General features: G+C 40.2%; 1 protein-coding gene and 1 long non-coding RNA gene across 6 annotated transcripts in view, besides 8 other annotated features; one reads left to right on the forward strand and one right to left on the reverse strand.

Annotated features, from left to right (window-relative positions):
• The window catches only part of DUT-AS1 (DUT antisense RNA 1), a 21,389-nt gene extending 15,408 nt beyond the window's left edge, over positions 1–5,981 (reverse strand). The window contains exons 1-2 of one of the 2 annotated variants that reach the window (NR_186810.1): positions 5,688–5,981; positions 4,470–4,817 (exon numbers count right to left, since the gene is read on the reverse strand). This is a non-coding gene — a long non-coding RNA (DUT antisense RNA 1). Of the gene's footprint in view, positions 1–4,469; positions 4,818–5,687 lie in introns of those variants that run through there. The other variant, NR_186809.1, reaches the window with a different exon arrangement.
• Positions 3,593–3,783: a silencer, noted in NCBI's record as "fragment chr15:48621665-48621855 (GRCh37/hg19 assembly coordinates)". NCBI's record gives its function as "represses an EF-1alpha promoter that drives an FKBP-Casp9 reporter gene in an ReSE screen in K562 erythroleukemia cells {active_cell/tissue: K562}" and the evidence as "EXISTENCE:reporter gene assay evidence [ECO:0000049][PMID:32094911]".
• Positions 5,062–5,588: an enhancer, noted in NCBI's record as "H3K27ac hESC enhancer chr15:48623134-48623660 (GRCh37/hg19 assembly coordinates)". NCBI's record gives its function as "activates a minimal SCP1, AML or CMV promoter by ChIP-STARR-seq in naive H9 embryonic stem cells {active_cell/tissue: H9 hESC(naive)}" and the evidence as "EXISTENCE:reporter gene assay evidence [ECO:0000049][PMID:30033119]".
• Positions 5,220–17,498, forward strand: DUT (deoxyuridine triphosphatase). 4 transcript variants are annotated; one of them, NM_001330286.2, is made up of 7 exons: positions 5,220–5,316; positions 6,393–6,531; positions 8,542–8,633; positions 10,171–10,215; positions 15,414–15,488; positions 15,640–15,710; positions 16,147–17,498. In NM_001330286.2, the coding sequence occupies exons 1-7, from the start codon at positions 5,292–5,294 to the stop codon at positions 16,201–16,203; spliced, it is 504 nt and encodes a 167-aa protein (NP_001317215.1). In that variant the 5' UTR covers positions 5,220–5,291; the 3' UTR covers positions 16,204–17,498. The 4 variants fall into 4 exon arrangements, with proteins under 4 accessions (NP_001317215.1, NP_001020420.1, NP_001020419.1 ...); NM_001025249.1 differs by lacking the exon at positions 5,220–5,316 and adding an exon at positions 5,549–5,604; NM_001025248.2 differs by lacking the exon at positions 5,220–5,316 and adding an exon at positions 5,554–5,920.
• Positions 5,589–6,113: an enhancer, noted in NCBI's record as "H3K27ac hESC enhancer chr15:48623661-48624185 (GRCh37/hg19 assembly coordinates)". NCBI's record gives its function as "activates a minimal SCP1, AML or CMV promoter by ChIP-STARR-seq in naive H9 embryonic stem cells {active_cell/tissue: H9 hESC(naive)}" and the evidence as "EXISTENCE:reporter gene assay evidence [ECO:0000049][PMID:30033119]".
• Positions 5,589–6,331: a biological region, named in NCBI's record as "Sharpr-MPRA regulatory region 3998".
• Positions 5,777–5,986: a silencer, noted in NCBI's record as "silent region_6415". NCBI's record gives its function as "represses an Ori minimal core promoter by ATAC-STARR-seq in GM12878 lymphoblastoid cells {active_cell/tissue: GM12878}" and the evidence as "EXISTENCE:reporter gene assay evidence [ECO:0000049][PMID:35858748]".
• Positions 6,037–6,331: a silencer, noted in NCBI's record as "tiled region #3998; HepG2 Repressive DNase unmatched - State 1:Tss". NCBI's record gives its function as "represses a minimal TATA promoter and a strong SV40 promoter by Sharpr-MPRA in HepG2 cells {active_cell/tissue: HepG2}" and the evidence as "EXISTENCE:reporter gene assay evidence [ECO:0000049][PMID:27701403]".
• Positions 6,037–6,331: an enhancer, noted in NCBI's record as "tiled region #3998; K562 Activating DNase matched - State 1:Tss". NCBI's record gives its function as "activates a minimal TATA promoter and a strong SV40 promoter by Sharpr-MPRA in K562 cells {active_cell/tissue: K562}" and the evidence as "EXISTENCE:reporter gene assay evidence [ECO:0000049][PMID:27701403]".
• Positions 11,142–11,211: a silencer, noted in NCBI's record as "silent region_6416". NCBI's record gives its function as "represses an Ori minimal core promoter by ATAC-STARR-seq in GM12878 lymphoblastoid cells {active_cell/tissue: GM12878}" and the evidence as "EXISTENCE:reporter gene assay evidence [ECO:0000049][PMID:35858748]".

Below are 17,720 nucleotides of genomic sequence, written 5' to 3' on the forward strand. Positions count from 1 at the left end.
CCTAAAGCAGTGGTCTTTAACCAGGGGTGGGCAACAGAATCACCCTGGAGATTTTGTGTAGTCAGTTGGTGATGGGGCTTGGATATGTGCATTTACTCTAGCTCTTTTGATGATTCTCCTGTGTACCCTGGCACTTAAGCCATCTGCTTATAAAAGATAATTCTTATTCTTATTCTTTTTTTTTTTTTTTTTGAGATGGAGTTTTGCTCTGTCGCCCAGGCTGGAGGGCAATTGTGTGATCCAGGCTGGCTCACTGCAACCTCCACCTCCTTGATTCAAGTGTTTCTCCTGCCTCAGTCTCCCAAGTAGCTGGGATTGCAGGCATGCACCACCACACCTGGCTAATTTTTGTATCTTTAGTAGAGACAGCATTTCACCATGTTGGCCAGGCTGGTCTCAAACGACTGACCTCAAGTGATCTGCCCGTCTCGGCCTCCCAAAATGCTGGGATTACAGGCATGAGCCACCACGTCCGGCCTGTTTTTATTTCACTTCCTAAAACTCAATGATGCTTTAAAATGAAATAACAATAGTCTTTCTCTGGACTGTAATTACAGAACTTTTGGCTCCTAGTGCTTCTACGCCACTGGCATAATTCAGAGTATGCTTTTCATGGTGATTATGTTTGTTAAGAGAGATTGGGTATTCAGTGTATTAGGGAGAACTATAGTTCTGAGTTTGTGGCTTAAGTATTCTGCTCCCTTTGAGCCTTTAGTTCAATGAGGCAGTCATTTGTGAGCTTGTCCAAAGTAATTTTGCAGAAATAAATGCTTGTTTTGTTGATTATCTGCTAGCTCCTTAACTGTTTATTTAACTGCCATTCAATGTCAATCTACTGAGCTACTTACATGCTTAAGAGTTCTGTGTTGGTCTTATGAAATCAAGTCTACATATATTTATCTGGTCTTTGTGCTCTTCCCAAGAACCTGGCAGGAACATTTTTGTGGGTTTCATAAATTATACCCCAGTTCAGTGTTTTCACATTCAGCCATATATACTCTCGGGGGAGTATAAGACATTCCAAGGAGTTTCCTGATGGTATTCTGGACAAAACAGTTTTATAAGAATGAACCGTCAGCTAGTCAACATACAAATGTACTTTTTACTGAAACTGATCTGCCTATATTCTAGCCCTTCTTCCTACCTCCTCTATTGCAATTGCCCTTTTGCAAAAGATGGGCACACTTACCTATCCAAAACCTGACTGGCACCTTATCCTATGGTATAAAAACCTCTGGGCTTGAAACAAAGGAGCACTTCTAAATTTTGGTACCAGAACCCAAAGTATGGCTTCTGTCTTTTTTTGGCTTACACATATTTCTATTAAGCGTGAACTGTGGCATGATAAATGAGTATTTTGTTCCATGATGGAATGTTCTAAATTGAAATATAGATTCCTTCAGTTATAGGAAATGATGACAATTTTCCATTAATTTTTTCAGTTCTTCCATTCCTCAATGATCGCCAAAGAACATATTCCCCCGAGGAGGAGTTTGAGAGTTTTGTTCAAACTCACAAAAAACTAAGACAGCTCAACTGTCTATTGGAGATCCTCTCCATGGGAGGTTTGGGCAGAAGGACAGTGATCCAGATGGAGGTCGGAGATGAGAAAGAGGAGCAAAGAAAGTAATAAAAGCATGGGTAAATATTTTTTTAATGACTATAAAAAGTAGTAAAATAATGATGCTTATTGAGATTAAAAGATACATTTAATACACTAGACAGTAATAGCATATTTGTCAAAAGAAGGGTTAATGGTGTTAAAGCAGTCTAAGGTCCTTGAGTTATCCAGAAGACAATCATTTTGATTAATTTTATATTTTAGACACTGTATGTTTTAATTTATTTAAAATAATAAAACTAAAGAGTAAAACATCTAAATTAGAGGGGAAAGGTGAAATAAAAAACATTTAGTAAATTTCACAGAAGGCAGGAAAAGGTTTTAAAAAGGAACATCTGAAACCCAAATTAAGATAGGTTTAAATCCATCATGAAGGTTATATGATAGTGGAGGAAACAAACAGCTAACGAGTCAAGTGAATATACATGTAATTTTACATAGCAATATATACTATGCAGAAAAACCCAACAGGGTAAAGCATTAGATGCTGCCTAGGAGGAGACTATTTTTAGGTAAGGGAAGACCTAAGATAGAAAGAGGAGGTAAGTAAGACTCCAAGGGTTTTTATCGTGAGCAATAACAGGTTGAGAAGGGAAGAGGAGCCAAGGAGACTGAGGAGACAGCCAGTGAAATGGGAGGAAGTGTTTCAAGAAGGATGGTATGATCAACTGTGAAATTAAGAATGCTTGGCTTATTTACTACAAACATCTCTCCCAGACCTGGAAACACAGCCAGTAGCAAGGTCAGTATTAAGTTACCACAAGGCCAGGCACAGTGGCTGATGCCTGTAATCCTAGCACTTGGGCAGGCCAAGAAAGGCGGATTGCTTGAGCCCAGGAGTTCAAGAGACCCGCCATGGGCAACATGGTGAAATTGCATCTCTACAAAATGTACGAAAAATTAGCCAGGCGTGGTTGCACGTGCCTGTAGTCCCAGCTATCTGGAAGGCTGGGGTGGAAGGACCACCTGTACTCCAGCCTTGGTGACAGAGTAAGACCTTGTCTCAACATCAACAACTGCAAAAGAGTTACCATAGACTCAACAGGGGACATATAAATCTACAGCGCACAGTGGCTAAACGCAAGGGTTCTGAGGCCAGACTATCTGAATTGTGGTTTAACCTCCTTCTAGTTGTGATCTGTGTGATCTTGGGTAAGTTATTTAATCACTCTGTGCTTTGGTATCCTCATCTGTAAAATGGGGATAAAGAATTTGTTTCCTCTAGTTGTCATGATTAAACGAGTTTTTTTTTTTGAGACAGGGTCTCACTCTGTTGCCCAGACTGGAATGCAGTGGCATGATAATAACTGTCTGCAGCCTCCCAACTCCTGTGCTCAAGTGATCCTCCCACCTCTGCCTCCTGAGTAGCTAGGGCTACATGTGCCTGCCACCCACCATGCCTGGCTAATTTTGTATATGTTTTGTAGAGATGGGGTCTGCCTACGTTGCCCAGGCTGGTCTCGAACTCCTGAGCTGAAGCAATCCTCCCACCTTGACCTCCCAAAGTGCTGGGATTACAGGTGTGAGCCACTGCACCCAGCCAATTTTTTTTTTTTTTTTTTTTTTGCGACGTCGTTTTGCTCTTGTTGCCCAGGCTGGAGTGCAATGGCGCAATCTCAGCTCACCGCAACTTCCGCCTCCCGAGTTCAAGCGATTCTCCTGCCTCAGCCTCCCGAGTAGCTGGGATTACATGAATGTGCCATCACATGCGGCTAATTTTGTAGTTTTAGTAGAGACGGGGTTTCTCCATGTTGGTCAGGCTGGTCTCGAACTCCCGACCTCAGGTGATCCGCCCGCCTCAGCCTCCCAAAGTGCTGGGATTATAGGTGTGAGCCACCACGCCTGGCCTCGAGTTAATATTTTTTAAAGCACTTAGAATACACCTGACATAAAGTAGTAACAATGTGTATCTTTGTTAAAATGAGAGAGAAATCCCCAAAATGGCAAAGATAGGAAAAACAACCATGCTTTTCAAGTACTGACTTGCATTTTCAGAAGGTTCAAATTGGCACTAGACTTAGGTAATTGAATTAATCAGCATGACTGATAGGATAACTATAGTCTGATAAAGAAAACACCATGAAGGGCAGGGTGCGGTGGCTCACGCCTGTAATCCCAGCACTTTGGGAGGCCGAGGTGGGCGGATCACCTGAGGTCGGGAGTTCGAGACCAGCCTGACCAACATGGAGAAACCCCATCTCTACTAAAAATACAAAATTAGCCAGGCGTGGTGGCGCATGCCTGTAATTCCAGCTACTTGGAAGGCTGAGGAGGAGAATTGCTTGAACCTGGGAGGAGGTTGGGGTGAGCCGAGATCGAGCCATTGCACTCCAGCAAGGCTCTGTCTCAAAAAAAAAAACAAAAACTATGAAGTAAATTATGGTTGAAACATGTTTAGTTCTTAACTGCAGTATCTTGCATTTAAGGTGTATGTTCATAACAAGTTATATTTCTATTGTCATAAAGAACGTTCTATTAAATGCTTACTGGCTCAGAATCCTATTACTTTTTGCCAGTTAGATTATGGCCGTTTCTCTTTTAGTCTAAAATAAACTCAGCTGAAAAGTAACAATAAACACTTTATGTATACAGATTAACAACAAAAAATAGAAGGTAACCTGCTTGGTGTTAGATATTGTAATAAGCCAAACAAGTAACTTTTGTGTAAACACTGAAGTAAGTGCTTTGAAGAATTCATAAAAGTTTATGACTCTAATTCATGTGAGAGATAAAATGCATATACATCAGAAGATTACACAATGAAAGTATATGGCTAACGACTAATGAATGATATAGTAAGTGTTAAAAGAGATAAGATGGGGCAGAGGTCACTACTGATTGTAAAAAGTTTCATGAATGAAGCGAGACTTTTATCTGGGTCTAGGAAAATGAAGTCGTTACAATCATTACATCTTAGTACAAGCAAGGAATCAAATAGTATGTCTCTCATGTGAACATTTTAAGTAAATAACTGGAGAAAGTACTTCAACAAAATAAGGGAGCAAAATAATGTTGGCTCAAAATGAGGTCGAAAAGTTGCAGGGCTCGGATCGTGTTGCTAAAGGCATAAATTTGGGAGTCCTCAAGCTGTAGCTAATAGTTAACGTCCAGAGAAGGTAGTGTATATTCCATAGCCTCATGCAAAGGAATTCCAACTACGAAGACGAACCAGTTAAGGAGACCGAAAAGGGGGGGCCTGTATGGAAAGGCATAGCAACGAATGTAAAATTTCCCCAATAATACTCTAAAACTGCCCCACAGCTTTTTTAATTTTGAAAATTCAAAACCATTCAATTCAGCTCGCAGATTTTTGTGAGAAATAAGGAGATACTTGCAGCTCAGAAAAAATTATTAACAACTATCTAGAAAGTTACTGCTTTATCCCCCACTGTAAACTATACTACCACGACCCGGGATCCTTGTTCGACTCCTAGCCAAGGGGTTCCCACTGCGTTTCTGTTGGGTTATCCCAAACCTGTGATAGGATAGTAGCGCCCTCCCTGCCTCCGGTCGAATAAACACTACAACGTCTGACACTCGGTGCTGAAAGGAAATCGGGCGCGGTGTCTTGCCCACAGCTTGGGGAGCGGCCCCGGGCGCAATAACTGTCACCGGCGCCGAGATGCGGTTCCGGCGCTTAGGGCGCCGCTAAACTCAGAGCCCGGGAGTCATGGCTGCGGGCGGTGCCGCCCCAGGTAAATCAGTCCAGGAGCAGGGCCCGGGCCTGGCGTACACTCTCGGAAAAATGGGGGCCAGAGCAAACAAGAAGAGCGAAAGCAAGAGGGCTAGGCAGCCAGAGGCGGCAGCAAGACTCAAGACGCCAACGGCGCCGTCTTCCTGGGGCCCCAGGGCCTGCGCCATCCCTGGGCTGCCGGGGCACCGCCTCTCCACGCCCCTCGTCCGGCGGCGGCTGCGACTGCTTCCGAGGTCATGTTCCCAGGACGGGCGCGTCTTCAGGGTGGAAGCCTGGCGCACGTCCGGAGGTGCCGAGGACCCAACCAGCCCAAACTCTGGGGGAAATGACTCCCCTCTGCCCTCGCCCCGCGCTCTGCTACCATTTCCTTACGTCTCTGCTTCGCTCAGCGATGCAAAACGCGCGAGGCGCACGGCAGAGGGCCGAAGCCGCGGTACTCTCCGGGCCAGGCCCGCCCCTCGGCCGCGCCGCGCAGCACGGGATTCCCCGGCCGCTGTCCAGCGCTGGCCGCCTGAGCCAAGGCTGCCGCGGAGCCAGTACAGTCGGGGCCGCTGGCTGGAAGGGCGAGCTTCCTAAGGCGGGGGGAAGCCCGGCGCCGGGGCCGGGTAGGAAAGGCGGGGGAGGGGCTCCGGCCGTCTGGAAGGAATCCACGCGGCTTGAGGCTGTGGGGGAAGTAGGGTGGCGAGCGGTCCTTCTGCGCGCGGGGGGCGGGGGGGGTGGGGTGGTCCATTAGGGTCCCCTGGCGAGGGGGCGGCTTTCTAGTGTGTGAGGGCGACGCCCTAGAAGCTCCCCTTCAAAGTTGGCCCCACGCGCTGAATGTGGAAAGTTGACTGGGACCCAGTAGTTTCCCATCCCAAACCTGCTTTCCGAGAAGGGCTTCAAACCCAAAATGTGAATCCCGCCTCCCCTCTCAGCCAGAACTGTGGACTCGTCCCGGGGAGGGGCGGTGGGTGGGGCGGGGCTGGCGGGAAATTTCGGTTTTGGCGCGCTCCCTGCGGCGACGCTCATCGTGCGCTCTCCTCTTCCCCCGGTGGTCTCCTCGCTCGCCTTCTGGCTCTGCCATGCCCTGCTCTGAAGAGACACCCGCCATTTCACCCAGTAAGCGGGCCCGGCCTGCGGAGGTGGGCGGCATGCAGCTCCGCTTTGCCCGGCTCTCCGAGCACGCCACGGCCCCCACCCGGGGCTCCGCGCGCGCCGCGGGCTACGACCTGTACAGGTGAGCGGGGACCTGCCGGCGAGGAGGCTGGGAAGGGCCGGCCGTCCGCTGCCACAGCTAGAAACAGTCACCGGAGAGATCACAGGAACACACTAGCTATAAATAGGATTTCTGCCTTTTTCGTGTTTAAAATTTTAGCTTTCATCTTTGGCATAAATTAAATAGAGATTTGGGCAAAGACTGCAGAATAAGTAAAATAGCTATACGGTGTCTAGCAAGGCGTTACTTTGCAACGTTTATTGTGCCCTTCCTAAATAGAAGATAGAGAGGAAGGCCCATGGTGGCTTTCGAGTGGCCCGAGGGTGATGCTGTGCTCAATAGAAAAACCAAGGTGAGAGCCTAGATGTGAGCGTGAAAATACCTAAGAAGGATGAACGAAGATGCATCTGCCTTAAAAAGTTATTTTCTATACATTCATCCGGCCCAGGGCGGAATTTGAGAAGGCATCTGAAAACGAAAGGCAGAGCTGCCTGTAATCTACCACACTTTCATCTCTACAGCACGTTTTACCTGTACTAAAAACTTTCCGTATGCTGTTGTATTTAGTCCTCACAACAATCCTTAACTAGATAAGTGTTACTTTTTACACAGGCAGGAGTTTGTGAAGAGCTGAATTGATTTCCCCAGAGGCTTGAAGATGATATAATTTTTTATCCCGAATTTTGGGCTTTTTTTTTTTCATCTGACTACTGTGCCCAGTTCTTAGAACCATTAAGGTAGGAGAAAAGTAATGCTGAGAGGGAAGGAGATTTTATACTAAATCCCAAGCATTGGGATTTATTTTAAAGTATCTCAGATAATTCAAACATGAGAACTATTAGTCTAAGCACAGGAGAAGAGAAAGTAGTGCCTGATGATAGCAACAGAAAAAAAAGGAAAAGGAAAGTAGGTATGGACAATTGTAGCTGGAAAAACTACAGTCTCTTAATTTTGATGAATAAAAGTAGAGTGATATAGTTTGACTAGACCTTTCCAAAGTATATTTTGGAGCACTTTCTTGAGTCCTAGGGGAGTCCTTGATTTAAGATACCTTAAGTAGACTCCTAATAAACACAGGTGACTTTCTGTATACTGAAATTGACATGGAAATAATGGATCAGCAATAAATTAGGGCTTAACTGTTTAAAGAGGGATTTCAGTGAAAGAAGGGGTAGTACTGCTTTACCAGAGTTAATTAAGGTCTCCAAAGTAAACTTCCGGTTCTGCTCATTGTAAAATCTCTTAAATTTCTACCCAGGAGAGGGCCACAGTAATATCAAGAGTAGCAGCATTTGCTATGTGGACTTTAGAGGAATTCTGTTCCTAAGCAAGGTCCATCTCCAGGGGCCGTTCACGGTGATCAGCTGTCTCCCTCAGCCAGGAAATTCATAGCCTAAGCTTGGTAAACTACCAAGCCCTGCCTGACAGATACAACACAGTTCTTTATCTCTTATTTTGTCCACCCGTTTTTCTCCTTTCCTTCTGCATATTTTCCCTAATCACACAGATCATTGTGAGAATAAAATGGGTTAATATATGTAAACCAATTAGAACTGTTCCTGGCACACAGTAAAGGCTTAATCAATGATAGCTAGTATTATTAGTAGTATTTGGCCTTTTTTCTTTGTTCTTTCTTCATTTTTTTCCTTTTCAAACTATGGTTGTAAAGCATCCACCTTTTGAAAGTTTGCCTTTCTGCCCTTTCACGCTGATAAGTACCTCAGTTTCCAATAAACTTTTGTTCAGGGGCAAACATTTACAATGTTGACATCTCTTCACACCACCAAAAATATTCATGGAGAATTATTTTATCTAAAGCTGTCTTTTTAATAATAAAATAGCCACCTCTACCTTCTTCATAAACTTTTAAGATGAATTGGTAATTCATCATAGCAAGGTTGATTTTAGAAACTAAAGTTGCATTAATTCATTAAATACACTGAAAGTAATTTTGTATGCTTGGTCACAAAGAAAATATAAAAACAATTTTATAAATAGATTTGCAGTTATTTTCTTTCAATATTTTCTTAGTGCCTATGATTACACAATACCACCTATGGAGAAAGCTGTTGTGAAAACGGACATTCAGATAGCGCTCCCTTCTGGGTGTTATGGAAGAGTGGGTAAGTCATTTAAGAAACAGGTAACTATTTGTCAAGTTCTCCTTTGTGATAGATTCTTCATGTTTCATTTGGGGTAATAAGCAGGCAATATTGCTTGGGCTGTGTCCTAAAAGAAGCACCATTTGTGATAGCAAATGCACTCTTTGAAAGGCTTTATTTACATCTCTGCTTTGCCTCTTTTTGACCCTTTTATTTTTCTCCTTCCTCACTGGAGCTTTTAGGCTCACACTGGCCTAGAAGGCTGTTCTCAGAACATGGCATTTTATATTATGAGAGTAAAACTTCTGACCTGTTGGTCCCAGAATGTGTAAGCCTACTTAACCTTTTCTTGTTTGGCCATGGGGTTAGGGTAAGGGATACTCTTCAGTGTTGTAGAGGCACTGGGAGGAGCTAGGACAAAATGGAGTACACGTCAACAGGTTTGATTTTTCTGGAGCGGATCAGTTGTTACCAGACAGTTCTTTGCAAGAGCGTAAGTTCTTTTTGACTAACTTCAGAGTAAACATAAAGGAGGCAATGGAGCTGTGACGCCCTCCTCCAGGGAAAGGAGCTAGACTGGCACTATATTATTAGCCATGAGTGAGGAAACTGCCAGTACTTCAGCCCTTAAAAGATAACAAGATGGGCTCTCATCTCATCTCTTGAGCATCATTGACTCCATTTTTTAGAATTTTTTCAGGGGAAGGGGCAGGAGATGGAGTGAAATAAAGGTTAGTACAGAAAGAGGCAGCATTATTGACAAAGTGCCTGATTTAAATTATTCTAAAATAAAATGCTGGAAGTTAGGATAATTAATTATAGGCCTGATGCTTGAGTCTGCAATAATAAGGTGTAACCTTAGCTTTTTATTTTTTTCATTTTTTAGGATTAAAAAGTATACTAGCATTGAATCATTGAGACTTAGTTTTTGGCATTTTTACTTAACTGATATTAGCCCATTTATCTTACTCTGGTTCATGTGTTTCCTACAGGCATGTCTTTTGGCATCTGAATCATGAATAGTGGGGTCCCAAGTTGTAGGCTATGGTCTGCTACTATTTGGTTAGGTTTGTTTCCCTCTCCCTTCCTCTTCCTTTCCCTTCCCATCTGCATTGTACATGTTGTGGTGTCCCATCTTAAAACCAAAGTCTTCTTCCTCAGTAGTGTGTTCCTGCTGGCCATACTTCTCTTTCTTCCCCTTTGAGGCTTAACTTCTTGAAAGAGCAGCCTACAGTTGTTCCCGCTTGCTCACCTTTCAGCTCATTCTAGCAGTCCTTCTCCCCTGTCTGCAGCACCACAAATTCTGACTGAAGTCACATGGGAGTGGTTTAAGTTAGTTTTGAATTAAAACCTTGTGGAATTTTTCTAAACTAGTCTTTCCAACTTTGGTAATGCAGTATGATGAATATATATTCTTTAATTCAAAACCATGTGCTAAAGTTAAGATGAAGATATAGATATTATAGGTGAAGAGAATGACATGCTTAAATTGCATCAGTTATCTCTGATATAGCCCTTCCCCCTTAAAATAACCAATGTCTCCTTTTTTGTTTTTTAGCTCCACGGTCAGGCTTGGCTGCAAAACACTTTATTGATGTAGGAGGTAATATATTTCCTTTTTTATTCTGTAAATGTTTGCAAGTATTTACTTTGTCTTTAAAAGGTAATATTCAAATGACAGATTTTATTTTTAAGAAAAGAAAATGATTAGAGGAAAGCTTGTTATAATAGGAGGAAAAGCTTTGTGGTTATTTTAAGTAATTATATTTTGTTTAACTACTAACTTAATTTTTAAAATAATGATTACCTAATTAATAATGACAGATTTAATGATATAATAATTAAGTAATTATTTAAGCAACAAAAGTTCTAGAAAACACAGGTCTATCTTGTAAGAATTTTCTTCATAAGAGAGCTATCTGTCTTTAGCAAAATTTAAGAAGAAAATCTTTCCCTGAAGTCAGGAGAGAAAACACTTTTCTCTAAATTTGTTAAGACAGTCCTCTGTGTTACCTGTTTCCCTTATAATAAAGCCTTTCTCATGTTTGTCTCAAAGTTAACCCTACCTCATGTGGTACCTTTCATGAAGAACCCTCAGTGTCCTCTGCTAACTACTCTTGATACAGAGCTACTCCTCTTATTGTAAGGAAATTTCTACTTTCCTGATGTGGTTTCCTTGTTTCAGGTCCGCTCCAACTGGGATTCAGACCCCACTTATGTGGTCCTTACATACTGACCCTTTATCCCATCAGTAGTGAATCTTTCACTTAACAAGATACCTTGGCCCCCACATAAGTAGGTGTGCTAGATCTCCTCCTCCACCCGTTTTTACAGAGCTGCTTTATGGAGGCTTGTTAACAGATCAGGAAAACTGGCTTAGAAATGAGCCCACATGGATATGTGGTAAAAACTGGAGTCTCTGTGTGATTCCAGCCTCCTTGTTCTTTCCACTGCAATTAATTGTGGAGATTACCCTGCTGCATCCCCCTCACCAACTAAACACGTCCAGAATTAGCTCACTTTTATGTGCCACTGCAAGGGCTAACTAAGCACTTAATGAAACCTGGCTATCCTAGACCTGCCCCTTAGTCTAACATTTGGTGGGTGTGGTGTCTCTCCATAGTGTCACCAGGTGGTGCTGTGGGACAAGACAGGACCCCAAAAGTACACCCTTTAGGGACTAAAGGGGAGCTGAGTTTTACATAGCAGGGTGGACATTGACAGCCCACTCTTGGGTTGAGGATTCCTTGGGCTCTGTAAGTTATGCCCGATGTTCAAAAATGCTTTTACAAGGTCAACTGTGGTCATTTTGGGACAGTAACTTAAGGATATAAATAATTGTATATATTTTCAATGAAGTTTCAAATGATTGTTCAAGGAACGGGAGCTTTGGAATAACAACTGGATGTAGGTCCCAGCTCTGTCATTAACTAGTTATTACTTAACCTTTCTGAGCCTGTTTCCTCATTTTACAATGGAAATTAGTGTGCCTGCCTCTAGAGGTAGGAGGATTAAATGATAATGTGTATGAAATACCTAATATAGTACTTGGCACATATTAGATTCTGTGAGATATAATTTCTGTCCTTAGGGACTTCACAGATTGTTTTTATGTGGAAACTTTTTCTTTTATTCGACTTTGTTACTAATTTTTGCTCTGTTTAAAACAACTTTCTGGAAAAAAATTCATGTAAAAGAATGGAAAGTTAGTTTGCCTAGTGGTTGGTATGGTGTTATTCATAAAATCACATTGTGGTGTGTTCTTGGATGCAGAGAATCTTAACAATCTCCCTTAGGCACAAGTTTATCATAGTTGGCAACAGTTTTTATTTCTGAAGAGAGATGTTGTTAGAAATCCCAGGCTCTAAATAAGGGTCAAAGGGAAAAGTTGAGCATTCAGGATTCTGTTCAGAATTCACATCTGGTAGGTGTGGATAGTTTTTCACTAAAAAAGGTTTCCAACAAATGACATGCCAAACTCTTGACACAGTAAAACTTTTGCCTGAAGTCAGTTAATCACTCTGCCAGTTCCAATGCATGATTTTTCCAGTGATAACTTCAAGTTACTTTCTGCTTTCTCTGAGGAGAAATATCCCTGATACTTATATCCTGTAGGCAGAGAAGGCTTTTCTTGGAGGTCGAATGGCAATTGGGTGGTAAATGAATTTGGAACTACTGAAATTTTTATACCGTCAACATTCATGCAAAAAAAAAAACTATTGAGGGCCTTTTTTTCTGCCATACATTTGAATTGACTTCAAACTTCTTAATTTCTTTTAGTCACTTAAAGGTTTTTCACATTTTCGTGGCCCAAGCATAAAGATCACCTATCTGCAGGATTCAAGACACCCAATCATTTGAGTAGTTCTGATAGGACTGCTTTACAGATACGTTAGCAGAGGCCTTTCAAAAAGGGAGTGTTTTTGTATGTTAGAAGATACTATAAAGCCAACAAGCAAATATTTGCAACTTATATGAAAAAGAACAAATGAGAAAAAAACATACACAAAATATAGACAAGGACATGCAAATGTCCAACAAATGGGAGGAAAAAAATCCAGCCTCACTAGTCATCAGGGAATGAAAAGTAAGGCAATGAGATAGCCATTTTGTACTCATCATATTGGCCAGAATGTAAGAGATTGTTGCCATCAAATATTGGCAAGGATTTTGGAAATGGGCATTCTCAAATATTGCTGATGGAAGTTTGAGTGGCTACACCTTTTTTGCAACCTATTTGATGAAAATAAAAAGCATTCATATACAAGGATATACTTAAAGGGCTGCTTCATTTATTATAGCAAAATGTAAAAGCAGCCTGTGTCTGATATTATGCAAGAGAATAGTTACATAGAAACAATGGTACAGGTTGGGCGTTGTGGCTCATGCCTGTAATCCCAGCACTTTGGGAGGCTGAGACAGGCAGATTGCTTGAGCCCAGGAGTTTGAGGCTTATTTGAGCAACATAGGGATACTTTCTCTCTACAAGAAATACAAAAATTAGCCAGGTGTGGTGGTGCCTTTGTACCTGGAGGCTGAGGTGGGAGAATCACTTGAGGTTGAGGCTATAGTGAGTTGTGATCATACCACTATACTCCTGCCTGGGCTATAAGAGTGAGACCCTGCCAAAAAAAGAAAGAGAAGGAGAGAGAGAACCCATATTTCCATATCTTGTATCTAAAAAGAATGGCTAACATTTACATATATTAATCTCAAAGGATAAAAAGAAAAAAATAAAGTAGTATGTAAGATATATTTCTGTAACATTAGCTATCTCAGGGAGGGTAAGAGAATATTATAAGCTTTTACTTTATATGTATTTGTATTGTTTTAGTTATTTAAAAATTTTTGAATAAAGTAGAAACAATAGTTCAGAAGTCAGTCCATGTCTTTCTCTAACTCATTCAAGATAGATGAATTATTAGCTTGTACCTCAAAATCTCCCAGCATGGAAGTTCTCTAGCCTACTGTGGCCATTTTTTCTAGCATGGAACAACATGCTATGTTGAGGGATTTCTTCATTAAATCTAATTTAAATTGTCCCTGCAGTCAAAATTTTTTCCATATAGATAATATGGAAAACAGCTGGTTTCATCTTTATATCAAATTTTTTCATAAATATTAAGGTGTAAATTAATGGTCAACTGACGGTGGAGAAATAAAGCAGGGTTTGGTATTGGAATTGGTCAAGTTCAATAATGGATTGTTTCCTTCAGGCCCGACAGGAGATGAACTGCCTTTGCTGCTTTTCTGCCCAGTTTTATACTCACTCTTCTCGTAAAAGTGTTGCATCAGGAACCTTTTAAGAAGTGCTTAAATTCAGATTCACTTGTCCCTAGTAATTCATTCATAAAGCACAGGGGTTCATTTAAACGTATGTTGTAATCCATTCGGAAAATCTAAAATGTTGTTTTTGCTGAATATTTTTCCCCGTGGTGGACCTAAGGGTTTGCTTTTTTCCCCCCATTATATGAGAAAATTGAAAGGATATGCTTAGGAATTACCCTTGTTCTTAAAAAATGGGGGGTGGGTATGCTTTGGGGTTTTTTTGTCTGTTTTCTCAGCTTTCAAATAATGAGGAGTATGGGCAAATAGCATTACTGCCCATTGAGCTGAACACAGGATTATTTTTATTTCCATATTTTTTCCTTCATCAGGGCTTTTGTTTGGGGTAGAGTATTAATAACAAGTAAGATGTGACATGGAGCTGTCTTCAGTTAGATTCACGTGAGTCTTATCCAGCCTTTCACAAACTGAGGAGAAAGAATTAACGTGTATAGCAGGAAATTGGGGGTGGGAGGAGGAAGGGGAGTGACTGCTAATAAGGTAGGGGATTTTTGGAGGGAGGGTAATGTAAATGTGCTATAATTGACTGTGACGATAGTTGGCCAACTCTGATACACTATGAACTGTGGAATTGTAACACTTCAAATGGATAAATTGTATGCTTTGTGAATTATTTATCAATATAAAAAAATGAAAAGGCCCGGTGCACCTGTATTATCTGTGCTTGTGCTTATGGAAATATTTTAAATTATTGGCTCAAAGATAAATGCTAGCAAGTCTGGTAAGTATAACTCTCTGGGCTATGTCAGGGACCTGGCTCAAGTCTCCCCTGCAAAGATCTTCTCCCCCTGTGTTCATAATCTTAAACAAGTATTAATTACACAAAAAAAGTTGTACTCATGAAGCCTATGTGCTACAGTCTTCTGAGAAACCATGCTCTAAGAAAGGATGGTGGTTCAGATTAAAAGGAGAGGAAGATTATGAACTGAAAAATACAGCTTCATTTTTAGTGTAAAAATGGAATATTCTAATATTTGCAAGACTGCTGCTTAACAATGTCAGCGTTGATTTACTCCACTGCAGAGCTTTAGGCTTTTTGACATTTTTATTTATGACTCAATCGTATTTCAATCTGGGTATTAGCGGGAAGCTGATACCAGGAAAAACCTTTAAAACCCAAATCGTAATTTTCTCCTAGTCTTTTTGGCAAGTGTGCCGTGGGTAGACAGTAGGTTGGAGATGGCCATTGCTACTGCCAGCTTAAAATAGGAAATGGTCGCCATTTGATAAAGAGTGACAGGTTGGAAAATTAGGACCTGTTTTCTAAATTTTTATTTGTATTTTAGTAATGTCATTTCTTGGTTTTGAGGCTTTACATAGTACCAGGGCAAGATTCACTTATTCAATTGTAAGAATACAAATCTCAGAGCTACATGATAATGATTTTGAGATAATCTTACACCTCTAGTATTCCAATAGCAAAAATTGAGATAATATTACTTTTCTTTTCTCTAGCTGGTGTCATAGATGAAGATTATAGAGGAAATGTTGGTGTTGTACTGTTTAATTTTGGCAAAGAAAAGTTTGAAGGTATGTTAAATATATACATTCACATAATTTTAGTGAATTTTCAGAGTCATGTATGTGTAAATTAATATTGACTCCTTTAATTCTCATTGAATAAGACAGGATATGGCGAATGTGTCAGTAACGTCAGTAATAAACTATTCTTTCTTTGAAGTCAAAAAAGGTGATCGAATTGCACAGCTCATTTGCGAACGGATTTTTTATCCAGAAATAGAAGAAGTTCAAGTAAGTATTACAAAGGAAGATACAGAATAAGTAATATAACATCTTAAGTGAAGAAATATATATAATCTTGAGAATTTAATATGCTGTTTGTAACTAAATAGTATATATGACTAAACTTATTTTAAGCAAATTTAAAATACTAGTTTTAGAATTTCTTTAAATGTTTTTCATGTAGCTATTATGTAGTATTACTTTGGATAATAAGTTATTTAAACATACTGTGAACTTCTAATATTTTATTAGAATTTTTTAAAGTTATCCAGTATTCTAATTTATGGAGCTTTTTAGAATTTAATTTTCTTTCTGTAATCTCCCTTTTGAAAAGATGATATAGCAAGAGTAGAATTCTGGCTGTATTTTTCTTAGGAGCTGGAGAGGAAAACTGAAAGAGGCTCTTAAAAAAAACTGTGAAGCTTACTACCTTTCTATCTTTCAGGCCTTGGATGACACCGAAAGGGGTTCAGGAGGTTTTGGTTCCACTGGAAAGAATTAAAATTTATGCCAAGAACAGAAAACAAGAAGTCATACCTTTTTCTTAAAAAAAAAAAAAAAGTTTTTGCTTCAAGTGTTTTGGTGTTTTGCACTTCTGTAAACTTACTAGCTTTACCTTCTAAAAGTACTGCATTTTTTACTTTTTTTTATGATCAAGGAAAAGATCATTAAAAAAAAACACAAAGAAGTTTTTCTTTGTGTTTGGATCAAAAAGAAACTTTGTTTTTCCGCAATTGAAGGTTGTATGTAAATCTGCTTTGTGGTGACCTGATGTAAACAGTGTCTTCTTAAAATCAAATGTAAATCAATTACAGATTAAAAAAAAAAGCCTGTATTTAACTCATATGATCTCCCTTCAGCAACTTATTTTGCTTTAATTGCTTTAAATCTTAAGCAATATTTTTTATTCAGTAAACAAATTCTTTCACAAGGTACAAAATCTTGCATAAGCTGAACTAAAATAAAAATGAAAAGGAGAGATTAAAGGTATTCCTTGTTCTTCCCTTCTCTTCACTAGTCTAAAAACTTCTTTTTAATCTTAAGATTCTTTGTGATGAGGGTGAGAAAAAGAATCCTCAGTTTATTTTTCCACTATTAATCTTTCTTTTGATAAATCCTCTATTGACTGGGTAGAGGTATGTTTGTGAAAGACATGTAACTTGGGGATTTGTTACTTTAGGTTTGTTCCCTTGAATTTCATCTCATCAGGCAAATTGTACTAGTTGTAGTTACGAGTTTTCCCTCAGTGAAGTAGCAATAGGCTGTAATCAAGAAAATATGCCATTTATAGAGATAAGATAAATGAAATAATACTTCAGCCACCAGGTTTTTCTGTCTCACATACATAAGCAGCATTTCATTGCAGATATGGGACTGATTCTGTGGCTTACCTTGATTAACATCTTTTGGAAGTTTTGCTAGTGTGCTTTCCTTTCTTTACTATGTTTCTCAGATTCCTTTGTATCAGGGTTTTGGGTGTCACTTAGGTTTTGTCCATCAGATTCTGTGAGACACCAGGCATCGTTTTGAGGATGTGGGTTATACACATGGAGTGCTTCTGGAACTATCAGCCCACTTGACCACCCAGTTTGTGGAAGCACAGGCAAGAGTGTTCTTTTCTGGTGATTCTCCAGGCCATTTAATACCCTGCAATGTAATTGTCCCTCTGTGGCTCACATTTCATTAGTGAGCCATGAAATCAACTCAGTGGGACATAGCCAGCATTTTTGCATACCAGGTTGGGCTATAAAATATTTCTGTTGTCAATAAATTTTAAATGTTTTCCTGCTAAACTAACCAGAATGAATTCTGTTTTGTGCAACTAAACTGTGATCAATACCGAGTAACAGTTGAGTAAGAACAAACAGTATTACATGGCTACCGAGAAATATGGTCTTAGTTTACACTGTTAATGTCAGTTACCTCTTACAGAAAGTCTGCTGTAACAGGCACTTCATAAACACCTGGTTTTTTACTCATACTGTGAGAGAGTAGGTAAAACCCATTGTACAGAATGCA

This window comes from Homo sapiens, chromosome 15, assembly GCF_000001405.40.
Source record: "Homo sapiens chromosome 15, GRCh38.p14 Primary Assembly".
NCBI classification, from domain to species: domain Eukaryota; kingdom Metazoa; phylum Chordata; class Mammalia; order Primates; family Hominidae; genus Homo; species Homo sapiens.

Excerpts from the sequence above, each read along its gene's own strand:
- DUT (NM_001025248.2), top strand. The coding sequence starts at position 5,641 with ATGACTCCCCTCTGCCCTCGCCCCGCGCTCTGCTACCATTTCCTTACG. Across the intron at positions 5,921-6,392 it reads AAGCCCGGCGCCGGGGCCGG|AGACACCCGCCATTTCACCC; the intron begins GTAGGAAAGGCG and ends CCTGCTCTGAAG. Across the intron at positions 15,711-16,146 it reads CAGAAATAGAAGAAGTTCAA|GCCTTGGATGACACCGAAAG; the intron begins GTAAGTATTACA and ends TCTATCTTTCAG.